Source organism: Homo sapiens, chromosome 12 (assembly GCF_000001405.40).
Source record: "Homo sapiens chromosome 12, GRCh38.p14 Primary Assembly".
NCBI lineage: Eukaryota > Metazoa > Chordata > Mammalia > Primates > Hominidae > Homo > Homo sapiens.
In genome coordinates, this window is record NC_000012.12 from 94,490,835 (window position 1) to 94,508,386 (window position 17,552).

The 17,552-nt window shown below is 41.9% G+C and overlaps 2 long non-coding RNA genes across 2 annotated transcripts in view; one reads left to right on the forward strand and one right to left on the reverse strand.

Moving 5' to 3' along the window:
- Window positions 1–17,552, forward strand: part of LOC102724960 (uncharacterized) — a 66,649-nt gene that overhangs the window by 18,518 nt on the left and 30,579 nt on the right. The gene's annotated exons all lie outside the window — the stretch shown is intronic.
- LNCHR1 (lncRNA induced by HCV, regulator of SREBF1) lies at window positions 712–5,608 on the reverse strand. The gene is made up of 2 exons (NR_197582.1): window positions 5,571–5,608; window positions 712–1,093 (listed from the first exon to the last, which is right to left on the reverse strand). It is a non-coding gene; the product is annotated as a lncRNA induced by HCV, regulator of SREBF1 (long non-coding RNA).

Consider the following 17,552-nt stretch of genomic DNA (forward strand, 5'->3'; position numbering starts at 1 on the left):
ATTCCAGGGTGGGTTTACTCCAAAATTGCTTTGACCTACCTTCCTTTCGATGGGGTTCGGGAAACACCACCCCAACATATGGTACCTTCAGAAAATCTCAGAAGCAGGAAGGTCACTTTACCTTCCCCTCAACTTTCCTCCGTGAAGCGGGTTATAAGACCTTCATTCCAGAGGCACTCACCCAAACCTGGAAGAAAGGAATGTCCTTATCTCTGAAGACACAAGGATACAAAGAAGAACCTGAACAAACAGGACTTCCTAAGTTTCCTGCAGTTATCATAACCTTTTGTCCAATCATACTTCTGCAGAACTGTCTGCTCTTCATCAACCCTAAGCATAAAAATACACACATATCCCTGTTTCTTTGGGTCTTCATTTCTGAAAGCTCCTGTGTCACATAAAACTTATATTAAGTAAATTTGTATGCTTCTCTCTTGTCAATCTGTGTTTTGTTATAGGGACCTCATTTATGAACCTAGCTATGGGTGAGAAAAGATTTATTCTTTCCTACACTATTTTTAGCTTTTCAAGATGATTTCTAGCTATGTTAGTTGTTTTGTTCTAACTGTAGACTGATGCCTGAATCCCCCCAAAACACTGAGTTTGAGATGGGGATGAAAGGAGACGGCTGTGAAAGAATGCAATTGGAAGGGCTCTCAAACAACTGCAAACTCTTTAACTTTGGGGGAAGGAAGACAAAAGAAAGAGAACACCATGCCACAGTTTTTACTTCTTCAGAAATGAAAGTTAAATTCCTTGAAAGAACTCAACATATGCCCCATCACATCCCTCCCTGCCAAATTCCCATGGTTTTTAGGTAAGTTGTTCTCAAGCAAAAATCAATATTCCAAAATGTGAACTTTGGAGTTTGAATGCAACCATACCAGCCCATTGCCGCTCATTCTCACTCTTTAATTATTGGCAATAAAATTGTATCTAAAAAACTTATGAGGAAAGAAGACAGAAGAAAGGCGCAGGATAACAAAACCTGAAGCATTAAGATACAAAGGGCAGCCTGAGCAAATCAATGGATGTTTCTCACAGCTGATCTCTCCACACTAGCCCAAAATTGGTTGTGAAGTCCAGTCAGTTCCTAGGGGAAGAAAGAGGAAAGATGATGCAAGGATACTTTTCCACAGAGAATATAGTTCTAATTTATAAAAGTTTACAAAGAGTTTGAATCTCAAATATCTCACTCTACTTCTGGCACCAAAAGGAAGCATGCCAAGGCCTAAGAGAAATAAATTGTTATAATTTACATGTTAGTTGGCTTTCAGTAGGTTTGGCTCCTGAGCCTTTTAAATGTCAAGGATTTTAGCGTTAAAACACTTAGCTTTCAACACTTTAGAAACTCCCAATGCTAATGTTTTTGTTTTGTATTTTAACTAACAATTCTTTGGCTGAAGACTTTCATTTTTGAAACACTTAAATTCCTAATAAGTAAAAACCTGGCAGGGGGTTTGGAGAGTTTGGGCCATAATGATAGACTGAAAATTACTTTTACTCTTGACCTTCATATTGACTTGTTGTGATCTAACAAAGATCATTTATCTTCCTGGGCTTTCAATTTTTTCATTATAAACTATAAAAAATAATATGGATATTATTTTGAGATCATTTATCTTCCTGTGGTTTCAGTTTTTTCATTATAAACTATAAAAAATAATATGGATATTGTTTTGAGATCACTGGAGAAAATGGACAAGCCCAGCATGGTTATTTGTAGAGGTACTTATATCAAATTCAATTATGTAAATCCTGTTTTTAAACAACTTTCTAATTCTGTTCAATATGATTTCTAAGTTTTATACAGTGAAAACAAAATTTAACTTGATAGTCTGTCAAAATCTAATATTATATCTATAGTTTTCTTTTGTTACCAGAAAGGAGTCCCAACCCAGACCCCAAGAGAGGGTTCTTGGACCTCATGCAAGAAAGAATTCAGGGTGAGTCCGTAGAGTAAAGCAAAAGCAAGTCTATTAAGAAAGTAAAGGAATTAAAAAAATGGCTACTCCATAGGCAGAGCAGCAACATGGGCTGCTTAACTAAGTATACTTATAGTTATTTCTTGATTATATACTAAACAAGGGGTGGATTATTCATGAGTTTTCCAGGAAAAGGATGGGCAATTCCCAGAACTGAGGATTCCTCCCCTTTGTAGACTATGTAGGGTAACTTCTTGACATTGCCATGGCATCTGTAAACTCTCATGGCACTGGTAGGAGTGTCTTTTAGCATGCTAATGCATTACAATTAGCATATAATGAGCAGTGAAGACGACCAGAGGTCACTTTTGTCATCCTCTTGGTTTTGGTGGGTTTTGGCTGCCTTCTTTACCACAACCTGTTTTATCAGCAAGGTCTTTATGACCTATATCTTGTGCTGACCTCCCTATCTCATCCTGTGACTAAGAATGCCTAACCTTGGCCGGGCGCAGTGTCTCATGCCTGTAATCCTAACACTTTGGGAGGCCGAGGCAGGTGGACCATGAGGTCAGGAGTTCGAGACCAGCCTGACCAACATGTGGAAAACCAATCTCTACTAAAAATACAAAAATTAGCCAGGCATAGTGGTATGTGCCTGTAATCCCAGCTACCCGGGAGGCTAAGGCAGGAGAATCGCTTGAACCTGGGAGGTGGAGGTTGCAGTGAGCCAAGATCGTGCCACTGCACTCCAACCTGGTGACAGATCGAGACTCCATCTCAAAAAAAAAAAAAAAAAAAAGAATGCCTAACCTCCTGGGAATGCAGCCCAGTAGGTCTCATCCTCATTTTACCCAGCCCCTATTCAAGATGGAGTTAGTTGCTCTGGTTCAAACACCTCTGACACATTCAATTAGAGTGAAAGAGACTTAGTAAAATTGAAATAACATCTCCAGAGTTAATTTTCTTTTCTTCTTCTGCACAGAACCATCCCTATTTACTCTGTATGAAAACTTTCATTACCTGATGCTCCACTCTCACGCCTCCAATCTTGGGTCTACAAGTACCACAATTTTATGTGAAAAGACATTTTATATGAAAAGACATTTTACGTAAGAAGAAATACAAACACCAAGAAAACATTAAAACTATACGATTTCTCTAGTAGTAGGCAAATAATGCAAAGTAAAATTAGATAACTTTTTCACCTTATCTTTTGACAAATACTAAAATTAAAATTGGCAAATATTTAAAAATTAAAGTTTCAGTATTGTCTAAGGTGTAAAGACATAGTTTTTCATATATGGCTGATGGGAGTGTAAATTGTTAAGATCTTTTTGAGTGAAAACCCCTTTGCAAAAGTATGACATAAGAGAAATCTAACATGGCTGACTCCATCTTGCTTCTAGCCTCACGGACTGGCTGTCTTTGCTCATTTCTGGAAATTTTTCTTTGGGAGAAATTTAGTTTACAGTTTAAATAATAATAACCCTTCCCCAAAACTAAACTGCCCTTGTAAAACTAATGAAAGGTCACCAAGTTAGAAGGACGAGAGGGGCCTGAATTCTAAATAATTACTAGCCATTACTCTGAAGGTCATACGATTTGCAACTTTTCCAATTACTCTTGCAGATAACATCATTATTGTAGACCCTAAGATTGGTCTTTTGAAATGTCTTTTCAGTTTTTTGCATTTCTGACAAGTGGATGGCCCCATCCGAACTTGTGACTCAATCAGTCCTGTGGCCCCCACCCAGAAGCAGATCAGTGCATGAGGACCATTTTCCACACCCCATGTTGACATCCCCAACCAATCAGCATGTCTCCTACCCTAGCCCTGTGCCCACCAAACTATCTTTGAAAGACTCCTAACCTCTGAACCTTTAGGGAGACTGATTTGAGTTATAACTCCATCTCCCATGTAGCATAACCAGCCTCACATCAATCAAACGCTTTCTTTACTGCAATGCCATGGTCTCAGGGGGTCGATTTTGTTCCTGCAGCAGGCAGGAAGAACCCATCAGGCAGTTACACGAGGAGCAATTTGGCAAAACCTATTATAGGTTTAAAATTTTACTTTGAGTAGCTTGGTAGTACACAAAGATACAAATATAAAGTATCAAGTGTTGGTGGGAATGTAGTCATTGGAACACTCATACACTGTTAGTGGGACTGTAAACTGGCAGGACCACTTCGTTTTTCTGTTTTTTGGTTTTTTGAGACAGGCTCTCACTTTGTCACCCAGACTGGAGTATAGTGGCATGATCTCGGCTCACTGCAGCCTCCACCTCCTGGGCTCAAGCAACCCTCCCACCTCAGCCCCCTAAGTAGCTGAGACTACAGGTGCACACCACCATGCCTGACTAATTTTTTGTATTTTATGCAGAAACAGGGTTTCACCATCTTGCTGTCAGAGGCGTTTAAACCACAGCAACTCCATCTTGAATAGGGGCTGGGTAAAATAAGGCTGAGACCTACTGGGCTGCACTCCCAGAAGGTTAGGAATTCTAAGTCACAGGATGAGATAGGAGGTCAGCCCAAGATACAGGTCATAAAGACCTTGCTGATAAAACAGGTTGCAATAAAGAAGCTGGCCAAATTCTACCAAAACCAAGATGGCAATGAGAGTGACCTCTGGTCGTCTTCACTGCTCATTATATGCTAATTATAATGCATTAGCATGCTAAGAGACACTCCCACCAGTGCCATGACAGTTTACACATGCCATGGCAATGCCAGGAAGTTACCCTATATAGTCTAAAGAGTGGAGGAACCCTCAGTCCCAGGAATTGCCCACCCCTTTCCGGGAAAACTCATGAATAATCCACCCCTTGTTAAGCATATAATCAAGAAATAATCATAAAATTGAGCAACCAGCAGCCCTTGGGGCTGCTGTGTCTATGCAATAGCCATTCTTTTATTCCTTTACTTTCTTAATAAGCTCGCTTTCACTTTGTACTATGGACTTGCCTGAAATTCTTTCTTGTGTGAGATTCAAGAACCCTCTCTTGGGGTCTGGATCGGGACCCCTTTCTGGTACCATTGCCAAGACTGGTCTTGAACTCCTGAGCTCAAGCTATCTGCCTGCCTTGGCCTCCCAAAGAGCTAGAATTATAGGCATGAGCCACTGCACCCGGCCAGGAAGGATCACTTGGGAAAACAATTTGGCATTATCTACTAAGGCTGAAGATGTGAATGTCTTATAACTCAGCAGTTCCACTTCTGGGCATAGACTCAAGAGAAACTCTTGTACATGTGTTTATATCCACACTGTTTGTTAAGACCAAGAAAGAAGAACTAATCCTAATTGTCCATCAACAATACAATAGATAAATACAGCAGTGAAAATGAAGAAATTATAGCTACACACAATGACATGGATGATCTCAGGAATATTGTGTTGTGAGAAAAAGCAAGTTGCAGAATAATATATACAGTATGGTTCTGCAGGGTGCCAGACTATGCCACCTCAAAATACGCCTCTTTACCACTGGATTATCTTGAGCTAAACACAACTGAGAAATAGTAGATACAAGTAAAGCTCTTTACCTCCCTCTTACTACCTAAAAATGCAGTATAAAATTCCCCTTTTGGAAAGGAATTTATATTTATAAAGCAAATTTATATTTGTAAAATTTGTCTCCTTACCAGGAAGAAAGCTATTCATAGAGATGACCCTTATCACCTGGATGACTCTTATCTGCAAAACAAGATAGCCTTTATTTATCACACATTTCATCCCCTCACTTTCCCATAAGCTTGCCTCCCTGACCCAGAAATCCCAAACCCCTTTTCCTTTGTTTAGCCTAAGATGATAAATAAGCCTCAATCATCTAACCACATCCTTGAGTCTCATTTCTTATTTAAACTAATGTGCATTAAGTGTGTAATCAAAACCTTTTTTTCTCTTGCTAATCTGTGTTTCGTTATTTTAATTCACAGGCTCAGCCTGTTAGGAGGGTAGAGGAAAAAGGATTCCTCTTCCCCTACAATTTCATTTGTATAAAATCCAAAAGCACATAAAACTAATTGCTTGGGAAAACAGATGTGATGGTAGGGGCAAAGGGAACATTCCTTCCACACTCCAAAGATTTGATAATTAATTTTTATTTTTTATTTTTGAGATGGAGTCTTGCTCTGTCACTCAGGCTGGAGTGGGTGCGATAGCTCACTGCAACCTCTGCTTCCCAGGTTCAAGCGATCCTCCCACCTCAGCCTCCCAAGTTGCTGGGATTACAGGCATGCACCATCATGCCTGGCTAATTTTTGTATTTTTTGTACATATGAGGTTTCACAATGTTGGCCAGGCTGGTCTTGAACTCCTGACCTCAAGTGATCTGCCCATTTCAGCCCCACAAAATGCTTGGATTACAGGCATGAACCACCATGCCTGGCCAAGGTTTGATAATTTGAGTCTCTGGAATAAACTGACAACAAACAGATTAACAGGAGAAAAGGCATACAAATTTATTATATGCACATGAGCCACACAAAATATGAAACTTAGAGAAGGACCAGTTGAGCTGGCTAAAGTTTATTTTTGTTTGTTTGTTTTTGAGATGGAGTCTTGCCCTGTTGCCCAGGCTGGAGTGCAATGGCACGATCTTGGCTCACTGCAACCTCCACCTTCTGGGTTCAAGCAATTCTCCTGCCTTAGCCTCCCGAGTAGCTGGGATTATAGGAGTGTGCCACCACGCCTGGCTAATTTTTGTATTTTTAGTAGAGACGGGGTTTCACCATGTTGGCCAGGCTGGTCTCGAACTCCTGACTTTGTGATCTGCCCGCCTTGGCCTCCCAAAGTGTTGGGATTACAGGTATGAGCCACCACACCTGGCCAAAGTTCTATATGATATGGAAAGGAATAGGGGGCTGGGAGCTCCTGAAGGATGGTGATAACAAGCTATGGGAGGGTAAGGGGGAAATGCATTGTCAACAAATTCTTTTTTGTTGTTTGTTTTTTTAGAGACAGTGTCTCTATTTTCAGGCTGGAGTACAGTGGCATGATCATAGCTCACTGCAGCCTTGAACTCCTAGGCTCAGGGGATCCTTGGACTACAGCTAATTTTTCAACACCCAACTAATTTAAAATTTTTTTTTAGAGATGGAGTCTCCTCATGTTGCCCAGTGTCAGGTTCCAGCTCAAGCTGGGGTCTGAGGGGAGTCAGTGAACAGGTGGCAGGTAGCTGAAAGAACACTCAGGGGTCTGTAGGCAAGTGCAATATGGCTTTATTCTCTCGCCTTCTCCATCAGCCTTTGTCTCAGCTGCCTGCTCTGGCCACAGTCCCTCTCAGTGCCAGCTCCATGGCTCCTGCTGCCCCCACGCCTGCAGCTATGCTCCCTAGTGTGGGCACCACTTCCTGGCTCCCTCCTGTTCACCTGCAAGGCAGCCAGCTTTATCAAGCACGCTCTCACAGTGTCAGTGATACATCTATGCACGTCACAGATAACAGTGACTCAGAACCAGGTGATGAGTCCATCCATAACATGGTTACATAACTGTGATTATATAATGCACGGGATTGTGCACCTGCGCTCCAATCCGGCTGTGCCATGCTGCACTGGATGTTTACTTCGGCCCACTCTTGACTGTAGTGCAGCCATTTCCCTTACACCCAGGATGATCTCGAACTCCTGGGCTCAAGTGATCCTTCTGCCTCAGCTTCCCAAAGTGCTGGGATTACAGCCTGAGCCACTGAGCCCAACCAGACTGTCTTATTATGCAGATAAAGTCTCTCAGGTAGCAGCCCTGAAGGTGGTAGCCTCTGATAAGAGTTTCTCCAGCATGGTGTCAGAACTTTCTTCTCTTTTCCTGTGAGCTAGTCTTCTCTGGTTAATGATTGCATTCCTTCTGGAGAAACTTCCCTTGGATAAAGGAAGATCAGAGCAAGGCCTTCCCTGCATTACTGCTCTCCAGGTGCTCTCAGTCTGAAGTCTAATGCAACATGTTTTGTTTTCTGAGCCCCAACACAATAAAGCTAAAAGTAGAGTAACAATAAACCTAAATTAAGGATAGTTGTTACCTTTCAGAGAAGAAAAGGAGGATGGGGTTGGAGAGAAGCACACAGGGTACTTTAAAGGTAATGAGTGAGGAAAGTGAAAATGACTTGGAGACCATTGAACAGGGCCCAGAGACAAAAACTCCTTATCTGAGGAATTTAGAAGGCAGCAAAGAACACCTGGTGACCATCAAACAGGCCATCCAAAGGCAAAAGTTATCTAGGAAATTTAAAAGTAATTAAACTTCCCAGCAGGGTGCAATGGTTCACACCTGTAATCCCAGCACTCTGGGAGGCCGAGGCATGCGGATCACCTGAGGTCAGGGGTTCGAGACCAGCCTGGCCAACATGGTAAAACCCCCGCCTACAAAAAATACAAAAATTATATTTGGGCATAGTGGTGGGCACCTGTAATCCCAGCTTCTCAGGAGGCTGAGGTGGGAGAATTGCTTCAACCTGGGAGATGGAGGTTGCAGTGAGCCAAGATCGTACCACTGCACTCCAGCCTGGGTGATGGAAACTCCATCTCAAACAATAACAATAATAATAATAATAATAAAACTTCCCTACTATCTAAAGTTGGCATCTGGTTCCAGGCCTCTTTCAACTTTTATTAAGTAACTAGAATTTTTATACATCTTGGGAATTCCATGCCGAAACTCATTGTGCAACCCTTGCTGACGTTAAGCCACCCAAATGTCTATACATGTAATAATTTATCATGACCTATGTAGCTAATATGGCCCAAATTACCTTTAAGCTCTTACCTTAAGGTCCATAAAAGGTCCTAAGGAAAATCCACCATTTCACACCCAGTCCTCCCACTGAGGCGCCCCGCTGCACCCTTTAGCAATATTCCTTCTTTCTAATAAACTTTCCTTTTTCAAACCTATACTGTTGTCGGTAAGTTGACTACTTCCCAATGGCGGGGCTCTGACACCTCGCCTGGCACTAATAATGTTTTGGGTTTTTTTCCTTACATTTGGTGATAAATTCAGAGGTTTTTGGTTGTAAATGTGTTTCATTTTACTTCATAAATATTTTTGTGTCTAGTCAATGTTTAATAAAAGCAACTTAAAGAACTTAAGTGTCCAACAATCAGTTATACGTCAACATAAATAGAACAATTTTATTTATATAAAACTCTATATATATTATGTGGATAAACAGCAATGAAAGATGTGTACAAGGACATATAATAATGTATTAATCATTGTATCACTTAGTGAGTGGATTTGGACTGATTTTGCTCTCCTTGTTTTACTTTACTATATTGTTTATTTTGTCCATATAAAGGACATGTATTTTCTTATAAAGAAAATAAAACTGGTTGGCATGATGACACATGCCTGTTTAATCAGCACTTTGGGAGGCTGAGGCAGGAGGGCTGCTTGAGTCCAGGAGTTTGAGACCAGCCTGGGCAACATGGCAAAACCCTGTCTTTACAAAAATACAAAAAGCTAGTTGGGTATGGTGGTGCACCCCTGTAGTCCCAGCTACTCAGGAGGCTGAGGCAAGAGGATCAATTGAGTCTGGGGAGTTGAGGCTTTAGTGAGCCATGATCAGGCCAGTGCACTCCAGCCTGGGCAAAGAACAAGACCCTGGCAAAAAAAAAAAAGAAAAAATTTTAAAAAGAAAGAAAAGAAAGGAAGGAAGGGAGGGAGGGAGGAAAGAAAGAAGGAAGGAAAGGGGAGGAAAGAAAGAAGGAAGGAAAGGAAAGGAAAGGAAGGAAAGGAAAGGAACTATTTCTTTAAAAAAAAAGATATAACTATTAGGATGTTCACAACAGTTAGATAGATGTATAGATAGATAAACATATTGTGTAAGAAAGAATTAACCTTACTCAAAGTAAGGTATGGCCTTTGCTGTCAGCCCCTAGGAGGTAATCTCTAAGCCCTTGGGATGTCTTGCCTGATGAAAGTGTCCTTGTTTACTTGGGGGCCTTGAGCCATGCCAGATAGTCTGATTACAATAATTTGTGGTAGGGGCTTTGGGGCACATGCTATCAGCTCAACCTCCAGAGAAGCTGGAGGTTAAGGTCATCCACATGGGCAGTCAACTATGTCTATGTGGTGATGCCCCAGTAAAAACTTTGGACACCAAACTTCTCTGGTTGGCAGTACTCCATGAGTATTGCCACACACTATTGCTGGGAGGCACAATGGCTGGCTCTGACTCCAATGGGAGAGGACATTTAGAAGTGTCATGCTTGAAACTCTCCTGAACTCTGCCCCTTGCACCTCTTCCTTTGGTTTATTTTAATTTGTACACATCACTGTAATAACCCATAACCGTGAGTGTAGCAGCTTTCAGTGAGTTCTGTGAGTCTTTCTAGTGATTATTGAAACTGAGAGTGTTCTTGGGAATCCTTGCACTTTCATTTGGTGCCAGAGTGAGGGTGATCTTGGGGACACCTGAACTTTGGAGTTGGTGTTAGAAGTGGAATTTGCAAGAATGACTGTATTAGTCCATTTTCACACTGCTGATAAAGACATACCCAAGATTGGGCAATTTACAAAAGAAAGAGGTTTAATTGGACTTACAGTTCCACATGGCTGGGGACATCTCACAATCATGGTTGAAGGCGAAAGACATGTCTTACATCACAGCAGGCAAGAGAGAGAATGAGAGTCAAGCAAAACGGGTTTCCCCTTATCAAACATCAGATCTCATGAGACTTATTCACTACCACAAGAACAGTATGGGAGAAACTGCCCCTATGATTCAATTATCTTCCACCAGGACCCTCCCACAACAAGTGGGAATTATGGGAGTACAATTCAAGATGAGATTTGGATGGGGACACAGAGCCAAACCATATCATTCCATTCCTGGCCCTTGCCAAATCTCATGTCCTCACATTTCAAAACCAATCATGCCTTCCCAACCATCCTCCAAAGTCTTAACTCATTTCAGCATTAACTCAAAAGTCCATGGTCCAAAGCAAAAGAGACAAAGCAAGTCCCTTCTGCCTATGAACCTGTAAAATCAAAAGCAAGTTGGTTACTTCCTAGATACAGTGGGGGTACAGGCATTGGGTAAATACAACCATTCCAAATGGGAGAAATTGGCCAAAACAAAGGGGCTACGGTCCCCATGCAAGTCTGAAATCCAGCAGGGCAGTCAAATTTGAAACCTCCAAAATGATCTCCTTTGACTCCATGTCTCACATCCAGGTCATGCTGATCCAAGAGGTAGGTTCCCATGGTCGTGGGCAGCTCTGCCCCTGTGGCTTTGCAAGCTATAGCTCCTCTTCTGGCTGCTTCCATGGGCTGTCATTGAGTGTCTGTGGCTTTTCCAGGCACATGGTACAAGCTGTCAGTGGATCTACCATTCTGGGGTCTGGAGGATGGTGGCCCTCTTCTTACAGCTCCATGAGGTAGTACCCTAGTAGGGACTCTGTGTGGGGGCTCTGACCCCACATTTTCCTTCTGTACTGCCCTAGCAGAGGTTCTCCATGAGGGCCCCACCCCACAGCAAACTTTTGCACGGGCATCTAGGCATTTCCATACATCTTCTGAAATCTAGGTGGAGGTTCCCAAACCTCAATTCTTGTGTGCACCCGCAGGTTCAACACCATGTAGAAGCTGCCAAGGCTTGGGGCTTCCACCCTCTGAAGCAACAGCCTGAGCTGTACCTTGGCCCCTTTTGGTCATGGCTGGAGTGGCTGGGATGCAGGGTAGCAAGTCCCTAGACTGCACACAGCATGGGGCCTGAGCCAGTCCATGAAACCATTTTCTCCTAGGCCTCTGGGCCTGTGATGGGAGGGGCTGCCGTGAAGACCTCTGACATGCCCTGGAGACATTTTCCCCATTGTCTTGGGGATTAATATTCAGTTCCTCATTACTTATGCAAATTTCTGCAGCCAGCTTGAAGTTCTCAGAAAATGGGGTTTTCTTTTCTATCCCATTGTCAGGCTGCAAATTTTCCAAATTGTTATGCTCTGCTTCCCTTATAAAACTGAATGCCTTTAACAGCACCCAAGTCACCTCTTGAATGCTTTGCTGCTTAGAAATTTCTTCTGCCAGATACCCTAAATAATCTCTCTCAAGTTCAAAGTTCCAGGGTCTCACTGTGTTGCCCAGGCTGGAGTGCAGTGGCATAATCTCAGCTCACTGCAACCTCAGCCTCCTGGGCTCAGATGATCCTCCCACCTCAGCCTCCCAACTAGCTGGGACCGAAGGTGCACACCACCATGCCCAGCTAATTTTTGTATTTTTTTGTAGAGATAGGGTTTCCTTATTTTGCTCAGGCTGGGCTCAAGCGATCTTCTCTCCTTGGCCTCCCAAACTGCTGGGATTACAGGTGTGATCCAGGTGGCCGCAGTTCCTTATTTTCTTGTCTGTGTCCATAACTCCTCAACAATCCCTCCCAACTGGTCTATAAAATCATTTTGTAGACAAAGTGATATTTGTTTGTTTCTTAAATATTTCTGCAGAATGGTTTTAAAAGGCTAAAAGATTTAGTTTTAGATAAAAAGATTTACATTGCTCACATATCAGAGTATATTAAATGGTGTACAGTGAGAAATCACTCTTTCCTTCCCCACACCATTCCCCATTCACTTTGTTTTCTTCCTCTGTGAGTAGTGATTATAGGTTCTGTTGATCCTTCTGAAAAATGTTTATGCATATTTAAGACTATATGTGTGTATGTGCATTCAGTTTTTCCACAAACATTTCACATAAATGGTAGCATACTATACACACTCTCTCTGCATTAAGGATCTTTCTCTATCAATACATTAATATGTACATAATATCTTCTGTGTGTGTGTGTGTGTGTGTGTGTGTGTGTGTGTGTGTGTGTGTTGTGCTGAACTACACTGTGTTCACCATTACAAGGGCTTTAGTAAGACTGTTGAAATGAATAAAATTACAATACAGGGAGTTGATAATAATAAGTGTTGATGACATCAAAGTGACTAATAAACACATGAAAATGTGCTCAACATCATTATTCAAGAGGGATATACAAATTAAAAGCACAGTGAGATTTTACTACCCACCCACTAGAATGAATAAAATAAGCAAAATGAAACATCTGACAATACCAAGGGTTGGAGAAGATATGTTGCAACCGGAACTCTCAGACACTCTGCTGAGAATGTAAATTGATAGAGCCACTTTGGAAAACTGATCTTAACTACTAAATCTGAACATATGCATAGCCTATGGCACAGTAACTCCACTCTTAGGTATGCTAAGAGTAGAGCTGCCAACAGGAATGCTACATATGTTCACCAAAAGACATACAAGTAAAGGATTAATCTTGTCCAAAGCAATGTTTGGCCCTTGATCAGTTTCTAGGAGGCAACCTCTAAGCCCTTGGAATAAGAGCATCCTTACCTGGGGCTTTGGGTCACACCAAATAGCCTATGTTAACAATGTCACTTATAGCCAGAGTATTGGGCCACATGGCATCAGCTTAACCTCTGGAGAAGCTAGAGACTAAGAGCAGCCACGTGGTTGTTGCCATTTCCATGTAACCAACCCCCAGTAAAATCCCTGGACACCAAGGCTAGGGGAGCCTCCATGCTAGGTTGGCGTTACTCCATGCATCTGCCACTCATCATTGCCGACAAAAGTAAACTCTGTCTGCGGGACTCCACTGAAAGAGAACGACTGGAAGCTCATGCCTGGGAACTTGCCTGGACTCTGTCCTCTGTGCCTTTTCCCACTGCTGATTTTAATCTGTATTCTTTCACTGTAATAAACCATCATCGTGAATATAACAGCTTTCTTTCTGAGTTCTGTGAGTCCTTCTAGTGAATTATTGAACCTAAGGATAGCCTTGGGGATCTCCCAAATGGCAACAAGAATGTTCATAGAGGCATTATTCATAATAGACAAAACCTGGAAACAACCCAAATGACCATGAATAGAATAGATGTATATTCATATAAAGGAATATTCTACAGCAAGAAAACTAACTGCAACAACATGCAACAATATTGATGAATCACTCAACCATAATATTGAGCAAAAGAAGCCACAGAAAGGAGTATGCAGTATATTATTTTATTTATGTAAGGTTCAAAAATTAGTCTATGTTGAGAGAAGCCAGAATAAGGTTACCTTTGAGATGGGGTATTGGCTGAAAATCTCAAGCTTGATACTTATAATCTGTGCACTTTTCTGTGTGTAGATTATGCCTCAACAGAAAGTTTACTTCCTACACACCTATTATCATTGTTAAAAAAAAAAAGAGTGAGAGAGAGAGAGAGAAGAGGGGAGGGGGAAGGAAACTGGATTGGATTCTGGCAAGGTTGCAGAGTAACTGCAACTCTCATACACTGCTAATGGGAATGTAAAATGGTACCACTACTTTAGAGAATAGTTTGATAGTTCCTTATAAAGTTAAACATACACTTACCATATGACCCAGCAATTCTATCCCAAGGAGTTACCCAAGAGAAATGAAATTTTATATTTATGCAAAAACCTATAGGCCACTCATCCTCTTCAAAAAAAACTCGAAGAACCCAAATATCCTTCAACAGATGAATGGATACATAAACTATGATGCGTCCACATAGTGGAATACTATTATACTACTCAGCACCGAAAAGGAGTGAACTATTGACACATGCAACCCCTCAGATGAATCTCGTGTATTAAGTGAAAGAAGTCAGACCCAAAAGGCTGCACACTATAGGATTCAATTTATATGACATTCTGGAAAAGGCAAAACTTTAGAGACAGAAAAGAGACTGGTGGTTGCCTGGGGTGGGGGGTTATAGGAGGCATTGACCACAAAGGGGCACAAGAGAATTAATTATTTGGGGGTGATGATAACATTTTGTAACTTGACTGTGGTGGTAGTGATTACACAGCAGAATGTGTCAAAACTTAAACTATACACTAAAAAGGGTGAGTTTCATTATATACAAAGTGTACCTCAGTAAAACTGACAGATATATAAACATGTTTAAAGCTTACTTTTAAGTAATAATAATAATAGGTGCCACGAGAGATGTAAAGAGGAAGGAGACTATGAAAAATTTATTTCCCAGTGAGAATTAGAGAATTGTCACGGAAGTGTTCATATGCATGTTGAGCCTCAAATATACATGAATAATATCTGGGGAGTGACCATCTTGAAGAACTAATTTCCAATTTCAAATTCATGGAAGAAAGTATCAGAGAATCATATTTCTGTACTTTTGCCATAGCACCTTCCACTGAGCCACAAACCAAGTAGATCTAAGAGCCACTTAGTCTCATCTGTCATGGCACACCTTTGGGCGAGAGTCACACTGCCTCCACCTGAGAAACAGCTCCAAGCCCAGAAAACAAGGGGCTTAGAGAGTCAGAATCCTTAGGTCTACCAGGGACTTCAAAACTTCCTCCACAATATTTGTCCTTTCAGAATAAGAGGAAATAATCCATTAATAATTAAAGCTAACACTTATGTAGCACTGACTAGATGCCGGGCCCTGTTCCTTAATTTCATATATATATATATATCAATTCTTACAACAACTCCATGAGGTAGGTAGTTTTGAAAACAACCCCATTTTACAGATGGGAACCTGAAGAACAGAGTGGTTAAGGAACTTGCTCAGGGTACAAAATTAGTAAGTGGTAGAGGCAAAATTCAAATCTGAGCATTCTGGCTCCAGAGACATCTTCCTAATCATTGCAGTCTAGTCCCGCTCCGTGCACAGTTAGGGTAGGGGTTGGGTGGCCAGTATATCCTAGTCCAAGTCTCTCAAAGTATAAACTGCCATTCACTAGTGTGATGGAATCAACTGAATGGGTTGTGACCAGCTTTTAGAAAGTGGAATTGAAAATAAGTAAATATATTTTGGAATGGGATGAATAGATAATATCAGAGTACATTCCAGATATATGTACTGAGTCACTATATAGGTTGTATTTATTACTGTGTGTCAAGATCTGAAAAGTTTAAAGCACTTTCCAGGTCCACCCTCAGAGGATAAAAGCTCAAGATGTCCTAAGCCTGAAATCCAGGCTATCTCTTCTCCAAGAACGTCAGTCCTCCCCCATGATACATCCAGCAGTCTCCCTAATGCTTTTGGGTCTTGAGGGCAGAGTCCCACAACCTTTGGCCATTGACTACTGCAGAGGAGTAAGCTGGGTGTAATTCTGCTCAAAATGAGAGTCAGGCTAAGCCCCGGCTTTAGTAGTGGCCAGAAAGCTAAAGTCATTCTCTGAAACAGAAAATGTGGATTCTTTGCACTCTCGCCAGGTGCACGTTATAACTGGTGGGGAAGCTCCAGCTGAAATGCCTACAGCCCTTTGAACTAAAGTGCTTTACATTCCCTGTCTTCTCACAAGGAGGAATGGTAGAAATATAGGTGACAGGGGACCGGTATCACTGAGCACCATGATACTGTTCACTGGACACCTGGTGGCTCAGGTGTGTAGGAGACAGCGGCAGTGTCTGCAGTGGCACATTGAGGCTGCAGGAAGAGGCCATGCCTGACCCAGGAGGCCACTCCCTCAAAGCCTCCAGCAGCCACCAGAAATAGGAGAGACTTGTCTTGCTCAGACACAGGATCCTCATGCGTATCTGGGCCACAGCCCAAAGTACTGACAGTCTAGCTCTCCAATCTTCTCATGTGCACACCTAGGTACCTTCGAGGGCATATGACTGTGTCATACCTGGTTCTCGGGCGTTCATTTCCTCATAGATTGTGTTTTTCAGGGTGATATTTGCCTGGCATGCAACCTTCTACGTGGTGATCCAGGGGCCCGGACGCTTCCATTCTGTGACTGTGCCCTCCTTTAGGGTCTCTAGGACCTCTGAGTCCTCTGCATTCAGCCTGCAGATGGAGAAAGAGTGGAGAAGATATGCCCTTGTCTTAAGCTCCTTGGCTATTTATTGAGAACATAGCCCCTTTCAGGTGCAAAGCAGGAGCTGAGAAATACTGCCTCCAGCTGGGCTACTGTTTCCAGCATCAGCTGTCCTCTGCAGTGAGAGTGTCAGGAATCTTCATCTCTGCTTCATGGACCAAGAACCACTGTGTCCCATACCACCCTGGGAATGATCCCCCTTTTCTTGCAGAACAACTAAGCTGCCTCCTCCACCCTTTATGAGGGAAACTCTTAATGATTTCCTAACTATGCATATTGTAGCTGGTAAGTCTCTTCCTCTAGAAAACATAGGGAAAAAGCCACAAGTTGACTCTCAAAGCAAGACTCCCCTTCTGTTTTCTATGGTATCTGAACATTAGGAAATAGTCTAGAAGGATGCCATTGCTAGACACTAGGAACACAGACTCGGAAGGTAGGGTTAGGCGAAGAGTTTCATCTTTTACTTTACACCATTCTGTATATTTGGTTTAAACACTAATGAGCAAAAGAAGTATTAGGCAGCATAGCTATTTATATGAAATTCGAGAATAGGCCAAACAAATTGATTATGATAAAAATCAGAATAGTGGCTATCTCTGGGGAGGAAATGGGTTTTGACTGGGAAGAGGCAGGAAATGTTCTCCATCTCAGTGTGAGTGATGGCTACACAGGCGTCCACACAGGTAATTAACCATGGTCTACACTTAAAATTAGCACAGTTCATGTTCTTTGGCATATATACATTATACCTCAATTTAAAAAAATATATATATATTAGTTTAAAAATTCCCTGCCCTAATTTACTCCCTGTG